The sequence below is a fragment of the Homo sapiens genome, chromosome 3, assembly GCF_000001405.40.
Source record: "Homo sapiens chromosome 3, GRCh38.p14 Primary Assembly".
Classification (NCBI taxonomy): Eukaryota; Metazoa; Chordata; class Mammalia; order Primates; family Hominidae; genus Homo; species Homo sapiens.
In genome coordinates this window covers 85,320,133-85,339,629 of record NC_000003.12, presented here as the reverse complement: position 1 = coordinate 85,339,629, position 19,497 = coordinate 85,320,133, and the positions used below count along the sequence as shown (strand labels likewise).

General features: G+C 32.4%; 1 protein-coding gene across 11 annotated transcripts in view; it reads right to left on the bottom strand.

Moving 5' to 3' along the window:
- Positions 1-19,497, bottom strand: part of CADM2 (cell adhesion molecule 2) — a 1,115,441-nt gene that overhangs the window by 734,800 nt on the left and 361,144 nt on the right. The window lies entirely within an intron of this gene.

Genomic DNA, 19,497 nt, shown 5'->3' with positions numbered 1-19,497 from the left:
AAATTAACCAAGTGACTTGGGAGAATGCCTATAGGTTAATGCCTGTGATACCTGAAGAAAAGATGAGAAAAATAGAAAGAAAAAAAAGGAGAAAAAAAAGATGAAAGGAAGGGCACAGAAAAATTATGATCTAATTGTTCACATAAAGTTTATTTCTTTGGGAGACCAAGAGAAACCATTATTGAGGAATGATTCTATAAACTAGAGAAAGTAAAAAAAGAGACACATTTCCATTTTAATTAATATGTGTTATATGATATTACACTTGTTCTTTCAGAGTTATATTCTTTCAGTACTTTGTGCTTTAACATATAGCTTGTCTTTTGCTGGGTTCTTAGTGATACTTTTATTATTTAAACACACTGAGATAATTTACCTGCAGTACTTTTTAAAAATTCAAATATTAATGCCTGACTTCTGGTGCATATTTACTATGTGCCAGAAATAATGAAAAATACTTTTCACCTATTTTTAAAATGGGTTTATTATCACTATTTTACAAATCAAAGAACCAAGGCTCAGAGAATTAGAGTTAAATACTTTGCACAGTCTTGTCACCATATCATAAAATTTACCTATCAGACTTAAACTTTTCAGAGTAGGGCAAAATAATTTTAAATTATCTCAATATGGAAAATTATGCATGGTCTCAATCTAGTTTTATTAAGTGGAAACAAGTCTTTAGAATACATTATTTAAAACTTAAACATCCACTTTTGCTAACTTTCTGGTTCAGGAGATCTAGGCATAAGAAAAAAAGTGTGATCTATATCTAAGTAGATGCCTTTATACTACTGTAACTAAAATTTTATTGGGATTCCTGTATAATCTAGAGCCAAAATTTGGTGACTTTTATTGTCATGGTTATTGTTCTTTGCAGTTACCTGTTGTTCGGTGAAAAGAACATAGACCTTAGGAATCAGAAAAACCAGTTTTTGTTCAAATTTTGTCACTTCTTAGCCATGACTTTGGGAAATAATCTATATGAAGATGTAAGAAATTAACAATTATCAAAAAGCTTCTGTATAAGAAAAATACTCCCTACCTCACAGGGTTTTTACTGACTTCAAGAAAATATTCTATCAAAAACCTATTGCAATATTATATGCACTATAATTTGCTATAATGATGGTGATAATGGTAATTATTTTTATTACTATATTACTGGCTTCTCGGGGCTATTGCACAGATTACTTACTATGAAGATTGTGTCCCACTAACATAGTGGTTAAAAACAAACAAACAAAAACTCTGTACTCTTAGAAATCCATCTAGACAAAGGTGGATTGGATTAACCAGTTATTAAAAGTATTTTCACTAAACAGATGAAAATTGACATGTATCTAATAAATTTTTTTGTGTGTATTGAGCACTAGACTCTGCCTGTGATATGGGACACACAAGTTTAATGCGGAAAAGGCTTATATGTAACCAGCTGATAAGGCTTGCTGTTCCTGGAGGCACACACATCTTCTATGCAAGTCACTCTTCTACTATACTCAAGCAATTAATTCAGTCTGATAAGGAATGTTAATATCACTTTAGAGTAAACAGGCATCTGTTAATAGATCTTTCCAGATATTTGGCATAGGCAGAGGCGCTGATGGAGGCAATGATGCTTAAGGCAGTATTTTGAATGACTGTAACAAAATGCAATATGTTTCAAACACTGTAAATGTATCCCTACAGTATACAGTCTGGATACTAATATGGAAATCATTCTAAGAGATTAAAATATATGAGAGTATATGAATGTCATAACACTATTTATAAATAGAACCTATAAGACAAAGAAATCTTGATAGGAGGAAAATTGTGAAGAAGGAGAAAATGAAAATTTTATAGTAAACAAATACTCATTTAGCATGCCGGTCTGCATACCCAAAATCCAGGCTTAGTTTTGGGGTGTTTATAGATTTTGTAGAAAAAAGAGCAAAAATACTTAGATCTTATCCCATTAGCCTCATTTACACTGAGGCTAGACTCTCAAAGTGGTGAATAGTATTTAGAATGAGAGCTTGATTCAGTTTACTTGCTAAGTCCCAATGAAAGAATACAGCAGGTTCAGTTGCGAGCAGAAATCCTATGATAAATGGTTATTTGAAAGCCAGAAAGGGTAACTAAGTTATGCCCTTCAGTCTGTAGGCCATTTATTTTTGTCCCAATTACACACAATATAAAGAAATATTTGTTTCCATGTTTTTCTATACCACCAGTTTACAATGATACATATGACTTGGCTCACAAAGCTGTTCCTTGAGACAGTTAATATATTTAGAGAAATACGAGAAAGTATAAATTGTCTTTCTTTTTGCCCCTCATTAAAATTCTATTTAAATTATATCATTTGCACTGTGCTACACATCAGAATTTAGACAAATCATCACACTAAAATAGGAATGTTTGGTTCAGTTGGAGTTTAAAGATGCTGCAATTTAACATTTTTTAGAGGTGTTGTGGGAGAAGGAGCTTTAAAAGCAATTATTATTGGCCAGCATAAGGTTGGGGATGAGATGGCAGATGGAAGGCCAAAATATTGTTTTCCCTTAAATGGTCAACTTTGATAATGAAATATATATATATATTTATATATATATATTTATATTTATTTATATATATTATATTTAATATATATTAAATATATATATATTAAATATATATTTAATATATATATTAAATATATATATATTTAGTTCATTTTAACTATTTAACTATTAACTTTGTTAATAAGCTATATATATATAATTCATATATATATAAATTTATTTAGCAACTACCCCTCTTGGTATGTTCTTGATATTTTTATCAGCTTTAAGAAAAATTAAATCTTTAAAATGGAAAGAAATGATTGAGAACTCTAAATGTTTCATATACGAAATTTTTATTTTTAACTCTCAGAAGGAAAAACATGAAAAATTTTATATTGACCACTTAGTAACATAAAATTCTGCCTTCTCATAATATTTACTTGCTGAACAAAACATTACTGGTATTAGTTGCTTAATATAACAATTTCTAGTTGACTATTAGTCCAAATTGATAGTTGACAATATAAATCTTACATTTCACAGAAATATAGTTTTCTTTAGCTTTGTTATTATAATTTTGAATCACCCTTTATGAAAAACTGAAAAAAGAAAACATTCGCTATCAATTTGCCATTGAGCTTTACGTAAACAATTTGATTTTATGGTCTGAAATATAAATTATTACACAAATAACTTCTCTTATTCTTGTTGATTTTAAAATTGCTAATTATAATTTAACTGGCCTATAACAAATAAAATTATTGCAACCTATTATTAAAGCTTTTGTTCATATCCACAAGAAAAGCTGCTTTTATTTTAGCTAAATTCAGAAAAATATCAAGAGATGGGATTGAAAGGTAGGTTGAAGCAAATTTCTAAAAAACATGGGGTTCCACTTGGCAATGAGGAGATTCTCAAAGCTATAAGGCAGGGCAGTAACAATAGTGCAGAAGGAAATGTTGATGGCCTAAAGTAAAAGCAATGACGTCAAAGATAAGAGCTTATAAAATAATGTTTAGAAAATGGAACCTATGAAATTGGGTACCAGATATATTTTGGGCAGGGGGTTCACAGGACCAATATGTTCACGGTTTCTTTCAGTTTAGAGGATGAGTGCATATCGACCTTACTCAAAAAGTAATGAATACAATCAGAGAGAACAGGCTGTCTTTGTATGGTTTTATTACTGTTTGCTTATTTTTGCTTTACTTTGCACTGCCTAGGGAAACAGAAAGTAATGAATTCTGCATGGACAAATAGACTTGGAGACATCCATACTGCCTCCAAAGACATGTACCAGATAGTTGGGTAAATTAGTAAACCATTCAAGAATTACATCTTGGCAGAAATTATAGATTATGGCAGACATATGAATAGACAATCATCTCACAGAAGAAGCTGATTATTAAATACAAATAGAAAGGCAGAAGCTATAAACTTTGTTATATCATTTTCAAACACTGAGTTAGAGAAAAACCAATAACATATTGTATATTTCAATATAGCTAGAAGGGAGGATTTTGAATGTCCTCAACAAAAAAAAAAGTGATAAATATCTGAGATGATGAATATGCTAATAATTCCAATTTGTTCATTACACATTGTACATGTGTATTGACACATAACACTGTACACCATAAATATGTACAATTATTAAGTGTCAATTAAACATAAATACAAAAAAGAAGAATCTGACCCTTGACAAGAAGAGAATAGAGAGGTCTGGTTAGTATCAAGGAAGAAGAAGAGTTAAAATCAAATAAAGTGTTTATTGGAGCCAAGTGCAAAATGCTACCCCGATATAAAGTAGCAGGCCACTGATTTTAGAAATTAGTAGGTGACTGATGTTTTATGATCACTTTCATTTTTGTCTATTCTGGTGAGGAATGGAAGCTAGGTTACAGAAGGTTGAGACATCAATAGAAAATGAATGTATCAAAATAAGTTAGAAATTATAAAATATTTTGTTTTTTTGAGAGGACAATTTGTTCTCATGAAGACCGAACATGTTTGTAGCATTTTATTTATTTACTTAGTATCTTTTTTTTTAGTATATCTTCACAACCTAGAAATATTTTAATATGACTGTTTTTCTTCTATTTTGAGCTAGTTTACTTTCCTGTCACCTTGTAACTTCATAGCCCTATTTTTATTACATTTTGAAAATACAAGTTACTAAATTATAATGAGAATCTATTTTGGGGGTCTAGTTTCATATTATTTTTTTCACTCTCAATATAAAAACTACATAATGATTGAGAAACTACAGCCTCTAATAGCTTCTTCATGCTTTATTTTTAATTTAGCCTCAATATTTAAGAAGAAACTAAGTCAGTAATCAAAATTCAAGAAAAATGAAATATTATAAGTTTGAACAGTTAGAGAATCCAAGATTTAGAACCTTCTTAAGGCATTTTTGTTAACATTTGAAAAGGTTTTTGTAATCTTCTTTAACAGATCACAAAATTTAGCTAAGTTTTAGGCAAATTTTGCTGAGGAATCCAAGTAAAATAATTGCTTAAGGTCAAGTTGATTACCCATTAATATATGTGTATACTATCAGTCATTGTTGAACATTGATTAATCATCATCATAAAATTAAGTTGACCAGAGGCACTATTACACTCTGATACAAATATTTTGTTGAAATAATTCTTATTGTGCCTTTCCCCTGAGCTGGCGACGGCTGTCTTAAAACTATCCTGCAGTAAATATCTGACACTGAAGTCAACTTAAATTATTCTGAAGTCCATATGTCATTTTTTAGATGTAAGCCTGAGACATCATTAGCACTAATGATGTGAGGCTGCTTTTTGTTGATACCTATTGCTATTTAATGACCCAACTACCTGAGGCAGTTTTGATAACTTGAGAAAATGATAGAAAATCATCCAGCATTTGCTCCAGGAGAGATTTGATTACAAGTTGTTGACTAAGCAAGCCTACATAAAAGGTTTTCTGCTATAGTAGCAGAAAAGATGAAAAACTCAGGTCTTCAAATTATTTTTATTTGCTTCAGATGCAAATATTTGACATTAATTCAGTAATAGTTAATATACACTTATTTCATTTCATTTATATTTAAGGGAAATAAAGGTCAAATTTTATTGCTTAGATTTTGTTTTATTAAAAAACATTATTTTACTCATATACTTCCAAGGAAGTGAATTGTACACGGTAAGATTTTCTGGCTAAGAAAGTGAATAAAGTTTGGCCAGAATTACATGGAGTCCCTCAATATAACAACAGGAAAATTGGTATTTGTCACACATTACTATCTCTTCTCAACTTACTTCGAAATATAATAGCCTTTTATGCATTAATGATAAGCCTCTATAATATGGTTTCCTTAATGAGATGTATTGACCCAATCATCCGCTTGAATTTGAGCTTCTAATCTGGGTCTCCAATGTTGGAAGGCCATGTGAAAACTATTTTAAATAGCAATTGCAAAACTGCAGCAAGAGCAGAAAAACACGTTTCTTTAATAACAAAAATTATTTAAAATGATTAACCTAATTAACATTTTCACCTGGTCTTCATTTAATGTGCAAACAGGCAGTTGATGACAATAATTACTCAACCACAAACTAAGTGGTCAGTTAGATACACAATTACCCAATTTGCATGCACAGAAGTGAATTTTATCACTAAAAAGTTGTTTCTAAGCATTTACATATAATATAGACATAAAATTTAACTTGTAATCAAATTATGTAAACTTTACTTATCTAACATTTTTTTTCTAAAATGCTTACCTGAAGGTATTCTATCACCCTCATTATTTACATGGCTCGCTAATATTAAAAACAAGATGTAGATTTTTTAGTAATTAAGATTATTACTTTTATATGTATCACTATTACAACATATCATAATCATTCTATTCATTCATACAGTTATCCATTCATTCTTTTATAATTAACACTTTAAACACTGAGTTCTTTCTACTGTAAGACACTATTCTGTGTACAATGCAAAGATTAAATCCCACAGGAGCATTATATTTAATATCAAGGGTGGAATATAAATGTCTAACGAGACAATGAAAAGTGCTAAAAGCCAAAATAACATCAAAGTTAAAGTTTACAAATAACTTATTGTACACGAAGCAAAACTTATTTTAAAAAGAATTAAAAATGTTGAATGTGTATGGTGGGACCATGAGAATAATCTATTATTAATTCATCCTGTAATTCATACATATTTATCAACAAACTACTGTGTAGCACCATTTTCTTAAGCAATGGGAATAAAAAAAAGCCTTGTTCACAGATTTTTGAGTCAAATCTTCAATCTACTTGCAAACTAGCAGTAGATCTTTTATCTGCCTTTGCTTGACTAGTTAATTTGATTTTTCACAACTTGTATAACACAGAAAACTTAAAATGTATGGAATTTAGCTTAGAAGGACTCCAGAGGACATATTTTACATGGAATTTTAGATATTTTGGAAGTGGATTATTCACTTAAATATATGTATATTTCATTTTTACATAATACAAAAGTGAAAATATAACTAAGTCCAACAACTGACCTAAAATTATAAACTCAGATTGCATCCTAAGTGAATTTCAGTAATTCTCTCCCATATTATTTCATTACAAAGGTCAAACCTACAAAGCCCCCAGGAAGGAATCTGTGCCATCACTATTTTTCAAGGATCCCTCTGTGTCAGCCTACACACAGGTTTTCTTTTAATAAGCTCTGATCTCCCTAATATATTCCTCTAATGCATTATATTTTTAAATTGGGATATTTAATTTTCCCTACATTAAAGACTTAAGCTCATTAGACAACACAAAATATTTATTCTCATTTGGAAATTTGGAGCCTGTATTTCTCAGGATCCAACAGTAAAAATTCAGCTTGCATCTAATATTCCACTATTGACTAGTTTTATATCTGTTATTATTTTCTGAGAAAGCAGTCACAAATGTTTAGGACTTTGATCCCTTCTCAGCCGTTGTCTCAACAAACAGAAATTAGCTATAGGTTTATATTGTGACTGATGTGAGGATATTTATTTTCAATTGATCCCTTAATAATTTTTACTATGGCTTGGGTAGGGTCATATAGTAGGTACTCATTGAAATTTATAAGAAACTGTCAAAGGTGTTGACCTTTTGTACTGCTCTCCTCCACTGCTAAAGGATTTATTTATGTGCAAATGATACTGTAGTACTGTTAAAAATTAAAATAAAAATTGTAATGATAACTGGGTTTTATACACTGGGACAATTCTTCAGACAGTATTTCCAGAAAGAAGAATCACTCACTCCAGTTAAAATGGCTCTTATCCAAAAGACAGGCCGTAATGAATGCTGGTGAGGATGTGGAGAAAGGGGAACCCTCATACATTCTTAGTGGGAATGTAAATTATCACAGCCATTATGGAGAACAGTATGGAGGTTCCTCAAATAATATAATAGGTCTACCATGTCATACAGCAATCTCAATGTTGGGTCTGTACCCAAAAGGATGAAAATCAGTATACTGAATATTCTTATAAGTAAAACTCTTATTCTCAAATACTTATTATTTTTCTCTCAAAAAGGCCAATCTAAAAGTGACTATTGTCACTTTTAGTGACAATAGTCACTTTTAGATTTTCATGTGTTGTCACAAAATAGAGTCATGAGAAAACCAACACACTATAAATGCTTTCATTTTAGAATTACTAGTTGTAAAATATGGCTAATAAGTCAGGAACAGAAAAACAAATATCACATGTTCTCATTAATATGTGGGAGCTAAAAAAAATGAATAAATTGAGATAGAGAGTAGAATGGTGGTTACCAGAGGCTGGGAAGGGTAGTGGGAGTTAGGAATAAAGAAAGAATGGTTAACGTTTACAAAAATACAGTTAGACAGAAAGAATAAGATCTAGTGTTTGATAGCACAGTAGGGCAACTATGGTAAAGAAAATTTTATGGCATATTTTAAAACAATGAAGAGTAGAATTGGAATGAAGCTAACATAAACGAAAAATGTTTGATATGATGGATACCCTAAATTACCCTGATTTGATCATTACAAATTTTATGCATATTTCAAAACATTGCATGTACCCCATAAATATGCACAGCTATTATATATCCATAAACGTTCTAAATAAAAAAGTGATTGTTATTATTTTTGAGACAGGGTCTGACTCTGTCATGTAGAATGAAGTGCAATAGTGTTATTACGGCTCACTGCAGCCTCAAACTCACAGGCTCAAACAATCTTCCCACCTCAGCCTCCTGAGTAGCTGAAACCACAGGCACACACACCACCGTGCCGAGCTATTTTTTTTTTTTTTTTTTGGAGAGATGGAGTCTCCCTATGTTGCTCAGGCTGCACTTACTGCCCTGGCCTCAAGCCACACTCTTGCCTCAGCCTCCCAAAGTGATGGAATTATAGGCATGAGCCACTGCCCCTGGCCTAAACATTTTTTTTGAAGTGTTTTTAAACAGTTAATAAGTTAGGGTGGATTTATAAAGACATTGCCTATGAAAAATTCAGATAAATTTTTCTATTTTCTGTCTCAATTCATTTTATTCATGTTAGAAAATGCACTGGGCAGTGTAGAAAGGAATAAAGAAAAAAGTAAAATGTCTATGTAGCAGTGGTGTCAGTGTTGTTGGAGCATTGCAATAAAAATTTAAACTGTATCTGCCCTTTCAAGTACTTTTAAAACATTTTAAAATTTAAAACATACAAGAGTTTAAACAAGATTTCACAACGGAAACATACTAACAATAGAAAAAAAGTGTGATATTAATGGTAGAGGTGATAAGTGCTATGAGAGTTCAAAAGAGAACAAGCGACTCATCCAGTTCAACATTTCTATTGTGTAATTGAGAAAAAATAGACACATGAAGGTTAGGTGATGTTTCCAAGTTCACACTGCTGGTTAATGGCCCAAATATTCCTAGGTGATGAGGAGACTCTTGTGACTCTAGGCATCATGAAAATTTCCAGTGATTCTTTGAAAATGTAGGATTTCTTTTATGTGAACCTGAAATAGAACTTCACTAGGAATGGCTTTATTTCTACCACGTCTTAAAATAACTACATTATCCTCAAGATGAATTTAATCAGAAAAATTGAGAAATGAGTTATCTCCTAAACAGCAGCCAATAAAATTGATTTTCATGTTTTTAAGGATTAAGGAGACATGGTACTTGCTACTAATCAGGAAAACTAAAACTCTTATTCTCAAATGCTTCTTATTTTTCTTTCAAAAAGGCCAATCTAAAAGTGACTGTCACTTTTAGATTGTCATGTGTTGTCTCAAAAAAATAGTCATGAGAGGAACAATAAATTTTAAATGTTTTCATTGTAAAATTACTAGTTGTAAAATATATGGAAACATATGTTATATATGTTTAAAATAACGAATTATACTTCAGCATATCATATTACCATATATAAATACATACTTACTTTATACACACACATAATTTGGTAATTTTAGGATAATAAATATGATGTGTATTTGTTTTTTTGTTTGTTTTTGGTTTTGTTTTCTGAGACAGAGTCTTGTTCTGTCGCCCAGGCTGGAGTGCAGTGGTGCAATCTCGGCTCCGTGCAATCTCGGCTCACTGCAACCTCCGCCCCCTGGGTTCAAGCAATTCTTCTGCCTCAGCCTCTCAAGTAGCTGGGATTACAGGTGTGCACCACCATGCCCGGCTAATTGTGTGTGTGTGTGTGTGTGTGTGTGTCTGTGTGTGTGTATGTGTTTAGTAGAGCCTGGGTTTTACCATGTTGGCCAGGCTGGTCTCAAACTCCTGACTTCGTGATCTTCCTCCCTCGGCCTCCGAAAGTGCTGGGATTACAGGCTTAAGCCACCATGCCCGTCCTGTGTTATTTGTTTTTTAGGGCTGCTTCCAAAAAGTAGGACAAACTGAGTGGCTTAAAGAACAGAAATGTATTTAAATTAGGATTGGTTTCTTCTGAAAGCTGTATCTCTTCCCTTAGCTTGTAGATGGTCATCTTCTCCCTGTGTTTCTTCATACAGTTATCTCCCTATACATTTATTTTTCTGTGTCCAAATTGTAACATTTTATAATGACACCAGTCATACTGGATGAGGGCTAATCCTCTTAACCTCTATTTAACTTTACTACCTTTATAAAGAGCCTATATTCAAATAAGATCACATTCTGAGGGTAATGGGTTTCAGGTCTCCAACATAACTTTTTTTTTTTTTTTTTGAGGGAAGACATGATTTAACCTATAAAATGAGGTTATGTTTATATAAAATTATAGAATATAAGAATATTTTGTACCAGTTTAGATATAAGACTAAATCAAATGATGTCTATGTATCCACACAAGTCTCCTGAAGAGGCTGTCTCTAGACTTAGTATTTTCAAGGTGCAGTCTATCTATGAAACATTTTAATCATTGATTTAGATGTTCAAGGATCAAATTTCACTTGGTGATTTGAGCTTGCAACATCCAAAATTTAAACCTTTCTCTTTTAGAGTCTTTGACTCTTGAGGAAATCTTTGTATTAAAAGTTGATTGATTTGGAAGAGAAAACTCTGTCATAATTTGGCCATCCTGCTTTATCCAGCGCAAATTGGAAACATGGAAATAGCCCAAAAGTTGTCATTGGCTGTCCTGTGGGCTTCAGAGCATTCCAATTAGCATCAGAAAATCCAGCAAAGATGAAGCATGTTGGCAGATGAAATTGGAAATTTAAAATTTAATTCCAGTTTATATGAGCAAAGATTTATGTATTTAAATGAAATTAGAGTTATAGTGACAAATTTTAATACATTTCCTGTAAAATACAATTTGAAGCCATGTATATGTCATAAGCCTATTTATTGTTTAAAAGCTCTTAAGGTTGTTTGTTTGCTTCATGGTCACAACAGTTTTGACCTACAAGATATACAGAGCCTGTTAGACAGGAATTCATATTAAACACTAAGGGTTTCAAAAGCTTAACAAATCACAAGAGACAAGTTACTTGTTACTAGAGAACCACAGAATAGGACTAAGTCATATTTTCACAATTTTAAATAATTGGCTAAAATGACAACTAGAAGACAATTTCTCTCTTCAGGGATAAGGAAAGAAGTATTTCGACTGAAAACAATAATCACAGTGATTCATCTACCAAGCTTCAAAGACATTTCTGTGTAACTTAATATTATGTTTAAGGTTTAGCTGTTTAAGTAAATTGATAGTATGAGGGATCAGAAGGGCCTGGGTTAGTGGCTAAATTAGCAGTCATGAGGCTTCAAATTGTTACGTTTTGAAATAGCTTTTAACTATTCAGAATAGAATTTTAATTCACAATTACAAGAAGCAGTATGAATTACAGAAAAATAAGGCCAAACAAAATCTGTAAATAAAATTAAGACTTGCAATATATTGTCAACAGAAAAGAATAGTTATAATGAAATAAAATACCTAGTGATTGGCACTGTATTTAAATTTAGCCTATAGGGTAACTTCATATATACATATATATTTATATAAATACACATATAGTTTATGTGTGTGTGTGTGTGGTGTGTGTGTGTGTGTGTGTGTGTGTGTGTGTGTGGCCGGGCATGGTGGCTCATGCCTATAATCCCAACACTTTGGGAGGCTGAGGTAGGTCAATCACCAGAGGTCAGGAGTTTGATTACAGCCTGGCCAACATAGCAAAACTCCATCTCTACTAAAAATACAAAAATTAGCCTGGCATGGTGGTGTGCACCTGTAATCCCAGTTACTCAGGAGGCTGAGGCATGAGAATTACTTGAACTCGGGAGGTGGAGGTTGCAGTGAGCTGGGATTGTGACACTGCACTCCAGCCTGGGCAACACTGAGAATCTGTCTCTAAATAAATAAATAATAAATATGAATGAATAAATAAATGTGTGTGTTTAACATATTTATATAGATAAAGAGAGAGACATCAATGATTCTCCCTTTGTATTTTAGAAGCCTTAGATCTTAGAATTGTAGGATAGAATTCTCAGCCATGTCAGTGTAATTCCTGTCAACCCACACCAACCCATTTAATTTTAGTTAAAAAGGCAAAACAAATAAAAAGGAAAGAAAAAAAGAAAAAAAAAGACACATTAAGATTCTGTGACCTAAATTACAAACAAAATGGTAGAATAAGAGACATTTCAATGTTAATTCTATTTTATTTAAAAAAAAAATTGATCTAATCTTTCTCTGAAAAACTTTTAGTCATTAATTATTCTATACTTTTACTTTCTGTTGCAACTGTATTTAAACTACTAAAAGCTATAAAATAGTGTAATTACTGCCACCACCTACCCACCATATAATTATATTTAAGCCATAGTAAAAATCCAATATTTTCAGTGTTTAAGTTTCCCAGGAACAAAGCATGTGGACATGAATAGATTGTAGGCCATGTGCAGGGTGGGGGTTCATGCCTGGGTAGGCAGTAAGCATTTCCATTAGACTTTTACAATTGAAAATGGCTTTCAACATCTTCGTCAAATTAGCCATATATAATTTTTTGTGAAAAATCATTTCAAAATTGATTATAGTAAATTTATTTTTCATTTCTGATACTATTATCAATAATATAATATTGAACATTTTGAAAAAATACATACGTTTATAGATTTAATCTATACTGTGTTAATGGAAAAAAATAGTGTTATTTGAAATATACTTTATCATATTTCCTAAGAGAAATATTAATATAAAAAAGGTACACTTTTATGAAAGACTATTCAACTCAGTCAACACTTTTATGAATACCTGCTGTTTTCTGACCAATATAAGCATTCTTAAGTAAAAACAGATGTAGAATTACCATTTTCTTGTCATCAATTTTTTTTTCAATTCCTGAAATCATTATATTTCACTAGAAAAACAATACAGGCTGTAGAATCACTTAAATATACACAAAACACTTGAAATGAAGACTGTTTACTTAGGCCTTAAAACTTCTCTGAAAATCTCTTTCAGTCTCTGAGAAATATTTGCCATGTTCTTTTAGCTTTAAATCACAGGTTATTTAAAGAGAAAGAGGGAATTTAGGGAGGCAGAGTATGTTAAAAGAGGACATCGTGTATCATTCCTACTTACACTTTGGTTGATTCCATAATAAACATTTATGTTTCAAACATGAGGTCTAAGTTTTCATAAATCATTTTCCAACATGTTTAAATATAGATTCAAAATATAATTCATTTATTTGTTTCTGAGAAGATGTAAGTCGCTTGAGGAGAGTCCCTGTTTCTTTTATATAAGAATTTTACTCATTTTCTGGAACAATCCCTGGATCATGATGGCACTAAATACATATTTGTTAAATGGGGAAATTTGAAAGGAATAGCAGAAATAGATTTTTTTAAATCATGGCTCCTGATAAAAAATTAAATGATAATCTTCTCAAGATAGACATCCACTATTCACACTTTTTTTTTTTTTTTTTTTTGATGGAGTCTTGCTCCTGTGGCCCAGGTTGGAGTGCAATGGCACAATCTCAACTCACTGCAACCTCCGCCTCCCAGGTTCAAGTGATTCTCCTGCCTCAGCCTCGCCAGTAGCTGGGCGCCTGGCTAATTTTTGTATTTTTAGCAGAAACGGGGTTTCGCCATGTTGGCCATCCTGGTCTCAGACGCTTGACCTCATGATCCGCCTGCCTCGGCCTCCCAAAGTGCTGGGATTATAGGCGTGAGCCACCACACCCAGCTGACTTCATACTTTAGAAAAGTAATTAACTGATATTCAAAAGCCACAAATGTGAGGATGAGAAGAAATTAAATTTTACTCAAGATATCTCAACAAATAGAAAGAAAGAAACTAATTTCCACTGAATATGTATTACATGTCAGGAGTAATGTTTGACACTATCAAGTTCATTAACTCATTTAATTCTCAAAACAATTTATGGAAATGGAATTCTTTCCTTTTATGGAAAAGGATGTTGAAGATCTCGACGTTACAAAACTTCTTCAACGTAAGAGCTAGCAGGTAACCATGATTCAAAACTTCATTTGTGTGCTTTACAGCTCATACTATTTTTACCATTTCATGTGGAACATAAAGCAGCCTGTGCTGTCTGCTTCTTTTCCAGGTAAGAAAAATCAGGCAAAGTTAAAACCTCCTTAGCTTTGATTTTTAATTTTTTGTAGACTCTGGTTCTGTGCAGAACCAGCTGCAGAGGGCAAGGCCTTGCAGAGCTGGCAGGAGAAAGCACATTGAGATCAACTGAGCACTCAGTTAATTAATGGAGAATGAGACTATGACACTGCAGCTGACTTCAAAGGCGAGATTTGATGCTCCAGTTTCTTTGGAAGCTGGGACAGTTGCAATAGGGAGAAGATACCCACACGATGTGGTTTTAAGTGAAGACATCTGCAAGTGTAAATTGGAATGCAACCACAAGGAATATAAAACAATTTGTTCACACAGAGTTTACAAAGCTCCCATTTCTCTTTCTGGATAGAATAATGCTCATTTAAAATATGTGTGGATGATCTATTTTTATGTTTATAGTTAAAATAACGCAGGAACAAATTATGTAAAAAAATTGCCATGTTTAGTTATAGAATATATATGTACATTTTTAATGAAAGTGTGGTTTTACTCACCTTTAATTCACTAGTATGTCTGGTGAGTTGTGGATCAAAAGACTACTATTTTGGTGATGTACTTTTTTCAGACGGCATGCAGAGTCCTTGTTAAAATTCAATAGGAGTATACTTAATTGATACAATCATTAAGAAGAGGCAAGGTAGTACGTGGAAACAGCCTAAGAGCTTTGGGCGTAGAATCCAACAGACTTGATTTTGACACTCAATTCTGTTACTATGCACAAATGATTTAAACATTTTGAGTTTCAGTATTCCTATATACTATTAGGAAGAGTAGTAAGCACATATTCCTCTAAAAGAGAGAAAGAATATAGAAACACTTTGCAAACAGTAAGGTTTTATACAAGTATATATTTTTCTAGTTATCCACTTATTGAGCAAATATTTGAGTGCTAATTTCTTTATTGGCCCAATAATGGATGCAGCATATAAAATGGACTCTGTCCTCCTGGTGCTGAAGGCTAACGAAAAATATAAATACAGATATATTGTCTATTAATAGCAGTACAGCCAGTATTATAGCTTGTCTTCCGCACACTAGCCACTATATTGGAAATTTTGCTTAATTGATTCGTAAGGTGCCCTCAACAATGTTATTCTCTCAACTACCATTATCCTCCTATTGCCATATAGGCTGTTATAAGAAGAATTGAAGACTGGCTTAATCACATCTGTACTTCAGAAAGATCACTGTGACTTTTCTAGATACCAAAGTATAGAGGATGATATTGGAGCAAAGAAAACAAGGTATGACACTGTTTTAGCATCGTGATGAGAGATGTTTTCTACAAATATTTAGGGAGACTAAGTCTAGAAATGTATTGGAAATAGAATTGATATGATTTTGTAATTGGATATTCTGGTGGTGAGTATGGGATCCAGAGATAATTTGATGTAACACAGAGGTGCTGGAGGAAGACAGAAGGGTCTTGTTTAGTTTTGAACATATATTTAAGGTTATCATGATATGTGCAAGCATAACTGTCAAGTAGGCAGTGTGATGCATAGGTCATAAGTGATTTGAACTGTTGATAGGCGGTGACAGCTATGACACAATCTGGAGGAACACCATAATAACAGAGCAAAGGAAATTGGAGCTTACACATGAAACCAAAAAAAGTGTTCAGACAGGTTGCAGGGTTACTAAGAAAATGCCTGGACAAAGATGTTAAAGAGACAGTGGGTTTCAAGAAAAATGCATATATATTGCAGAATTAAATGCTACCAAATAGGTCCCATTTAAGGGAAGTCTTAGGGATTTCCTTTGAATTTAGCCATGAGAAAATGTTTGATGACTTTGGTGAGATGTTTTCAGTGGAATGAGTCCAGGTAGAGATTGCATTCAGTCCTAGACTGAGTGACAAGTGAGGAAATGAACACAACAATTATAAATAATTTTCCAAGAAGATGGGAGCTCTAGGATGTTAGAGGAGTGAAAAAGACTGACGGAAAAAAAGAAAACAGTTTTGTCCAATTTTTCCAAAATGTTAAAATGAGTAAGACATATCCATGGACATGGACAAACTCAGACAGAGGCAAAACACCACAATAAAAGAATAATGAAAACAGTTCTTCTGGGAACCAATATTCAGTTTTATTTGTTTCTAAAAGTATCTGGATATGCAAGTGGTTTTATCTATTTTCTTCAGGATTAGTTCTCACCAAACAAGTTTGAATTTCCCATTCCATTCAAGAGTTTCTGCTCTCTGAATGATTGTTCTTATTAGGACTCCCCCTGGATACCCACCTCAGTAGAATGGATCTCAGTGTTTAGGCACAGAGAGAGCCCTTTTACAAGCTCTATTTGAAGACAGAGACTTCTTTATAAAGAAAAATAATTTTTAAAAATACTTTAAAAAGCTGAAAATATCATATGTAGCACAGAAATCAATTTACTATTTTTCTCCATTGGTTTTGCATATTTATTTATTTACACTTTAAACATGGACATTTCTATTAATAATTTCTTGAGCCTGGTGAAAAGTCACAGGCAAACTCATGGTGTTATGAGCAAATACTTTGTGTCATCAGGCTGTCAACAGGTAAAAATGAAACACTTTTCACCAAAGGTGTAGATTTCTTGTGAGGAGCATTACAGCCTGTGAATTAAATAGCATTCCTCTGCATGAGACATGTGTTCAAGTGTAGAGTTTGAAACCCATGCCCTAGGTTTTGCATGGGAAGACAAAGACATGATAACAAGATGACAACACCTAAAATGACATCTTGAGGAAAATAGAATAGGACATGCTACCGTAAACAGATAACAACAAGAATTAAGCAAAGCTGGATATATGAGTGATTTCTTATTATAACATTGAATATATTCTTCTACTATTTTCGAGGTTATATAAACTCAATGGAACACTTTTATTTTACACTGGGACTGTTGGTTATTTGAAATGTACTTTGACCCTTAGATAAATAAGGTGCTTTCACACACCCAATATTTGATGTTTCATTTGTTACCCTAGATATAATCTGTTACAAAATGTTTGGTGTTTTGCCTCCCTGGACATACTATGTGAGCAACATTATTATGCTTGGGCAAAAATGACGTTAGCAATTTCAGTTCTGCAAACTAATAAATACTATTTAGGATGCATGCATTATATAGGACACTATTCCATACTATAAACATAAAAATATAACAGAAATACAAATTATTTGATCCAAAAATGCATACTATTCATACAATGAGGTCTAAAATTAAAGATGTTTGTATTTTATTTAGTGCCTATTAATCTGTAATGTATCTCCTTAGGCTTCTTTTCCTCTTAATTATGAAAACAACATTCTTTATGTACTAATGGATCAAAGACACATATGTAGTATGGTTCAGATTAGAAAAACAGAACTTGAGATGTATAAGCCAAATTTACGAAAAGTTAATAAAATCAAATTATACTGTTTCAATATTTTTAGCAAAACATGAAAAGTGATATTGAGAACAACATAATAACTCATATAATTCTTTAAAACATTATCTGAATTTTAACCAAAGAAGCCTTGTCTATAATACTAATTAAAATAAAAATAAGTGTTTGGGTGCAGTGGCTCATGTTTGTAATCCCAGCACTTTGGGAGGATGAGGCAGGTGGATCACTTGAGACCAGGAGTTTGAGACCAGCCTGGCCAACATGACGAAACCCTATGTCTACTAAAAGTACAAAAATAAATAAATGAATAAATTAGACACAGTGGTGCATCCCTGTAGTCCTAGCTACTTGGAAGGCTGAGGCAGGAGAATTGCTTAAACCTGGGAGGCAGAGGTTGCAGTGAACCGAGATCCCACCACTGCATTCCAGCCTGGGCAACAGAGCAAGACACTCTCTCTCTCTCTTTCTTTCTCTCTCTCGCAAAAAAAAAAAAAAAAAAAAAAAAAAAAAAAAAAAAAAAAAAAAAAAAAATATATATATATATATATATATATATGTATATATCTATTATGAGTACATTTAAAACAATATAGTTTTTATTTTTAATCTAATTATTCTTTCACTTAAAAGTCATGTCTTATCATCTTACAACTTATACAGGAAATTCCTAAATTAGAAAAATATTATAGTGGATACTGGTAGAATTTAAAAAAAAATCTAACAGAAATAAATCACCACTATAGGAAATTTTATTTTCATTTTCAGTGTACTTCCTTTCAGAGATATAAACCACAATAACTGGTATCTGAAATGCAGTAATCAATGTGATAAAATCCTGGAAAGTATTATGAATTAAAAATAAATGAGCTAGACCCCAAAAGGAAGTTACAGAAAACAAAATAAAAGCTTTATCAGCACTAGACCAAGCTACATTACTAAGGGATTGCTGACATTGGAAAAGACAAGGCATTAATACTTAAAGGGAAGTATGTCAATATACTTTATTATTTTTGTCTCAATATAAATGCGTATAGAATTCTGAAATTGGAGAGAGCAAAGTGAAAGTCTGTTGGCCTGTTGTGCATCTGCTACCTTGTCAAGATTGTCTCCGTGAACCAAACTGATGTCAGGGGACAACCACCGGCAGCTACAGAAATCAGACTATGAAGATTGCCTGCAGAGAGAAAACTTTCATACTGTAGCTTGCGTTACGTGAAAACTACCCGAAATCTATGAGATGCCAATCAGTTTTAAACCACAGAGAATACTGTAGAAAAGAGAGGTTCATATTTTAGGTTTATGCTCTACTAAACAGAGAAAACAAAAACTTAATTAGTTGACTTGATCAGTATTTGCTTTAAACGTTCTAGAGCAAAGTATCTCAGTTGAGGTACTGTTGACATCAGGGACCAGATGATTCTTTGCTGTGGGAAAACCTTTGTAGGATGTTTAACAGCATTTGTGACCTCCAACCACTAAATGCCAGTAGCACCCTGGTCCTCAATTATGACAATA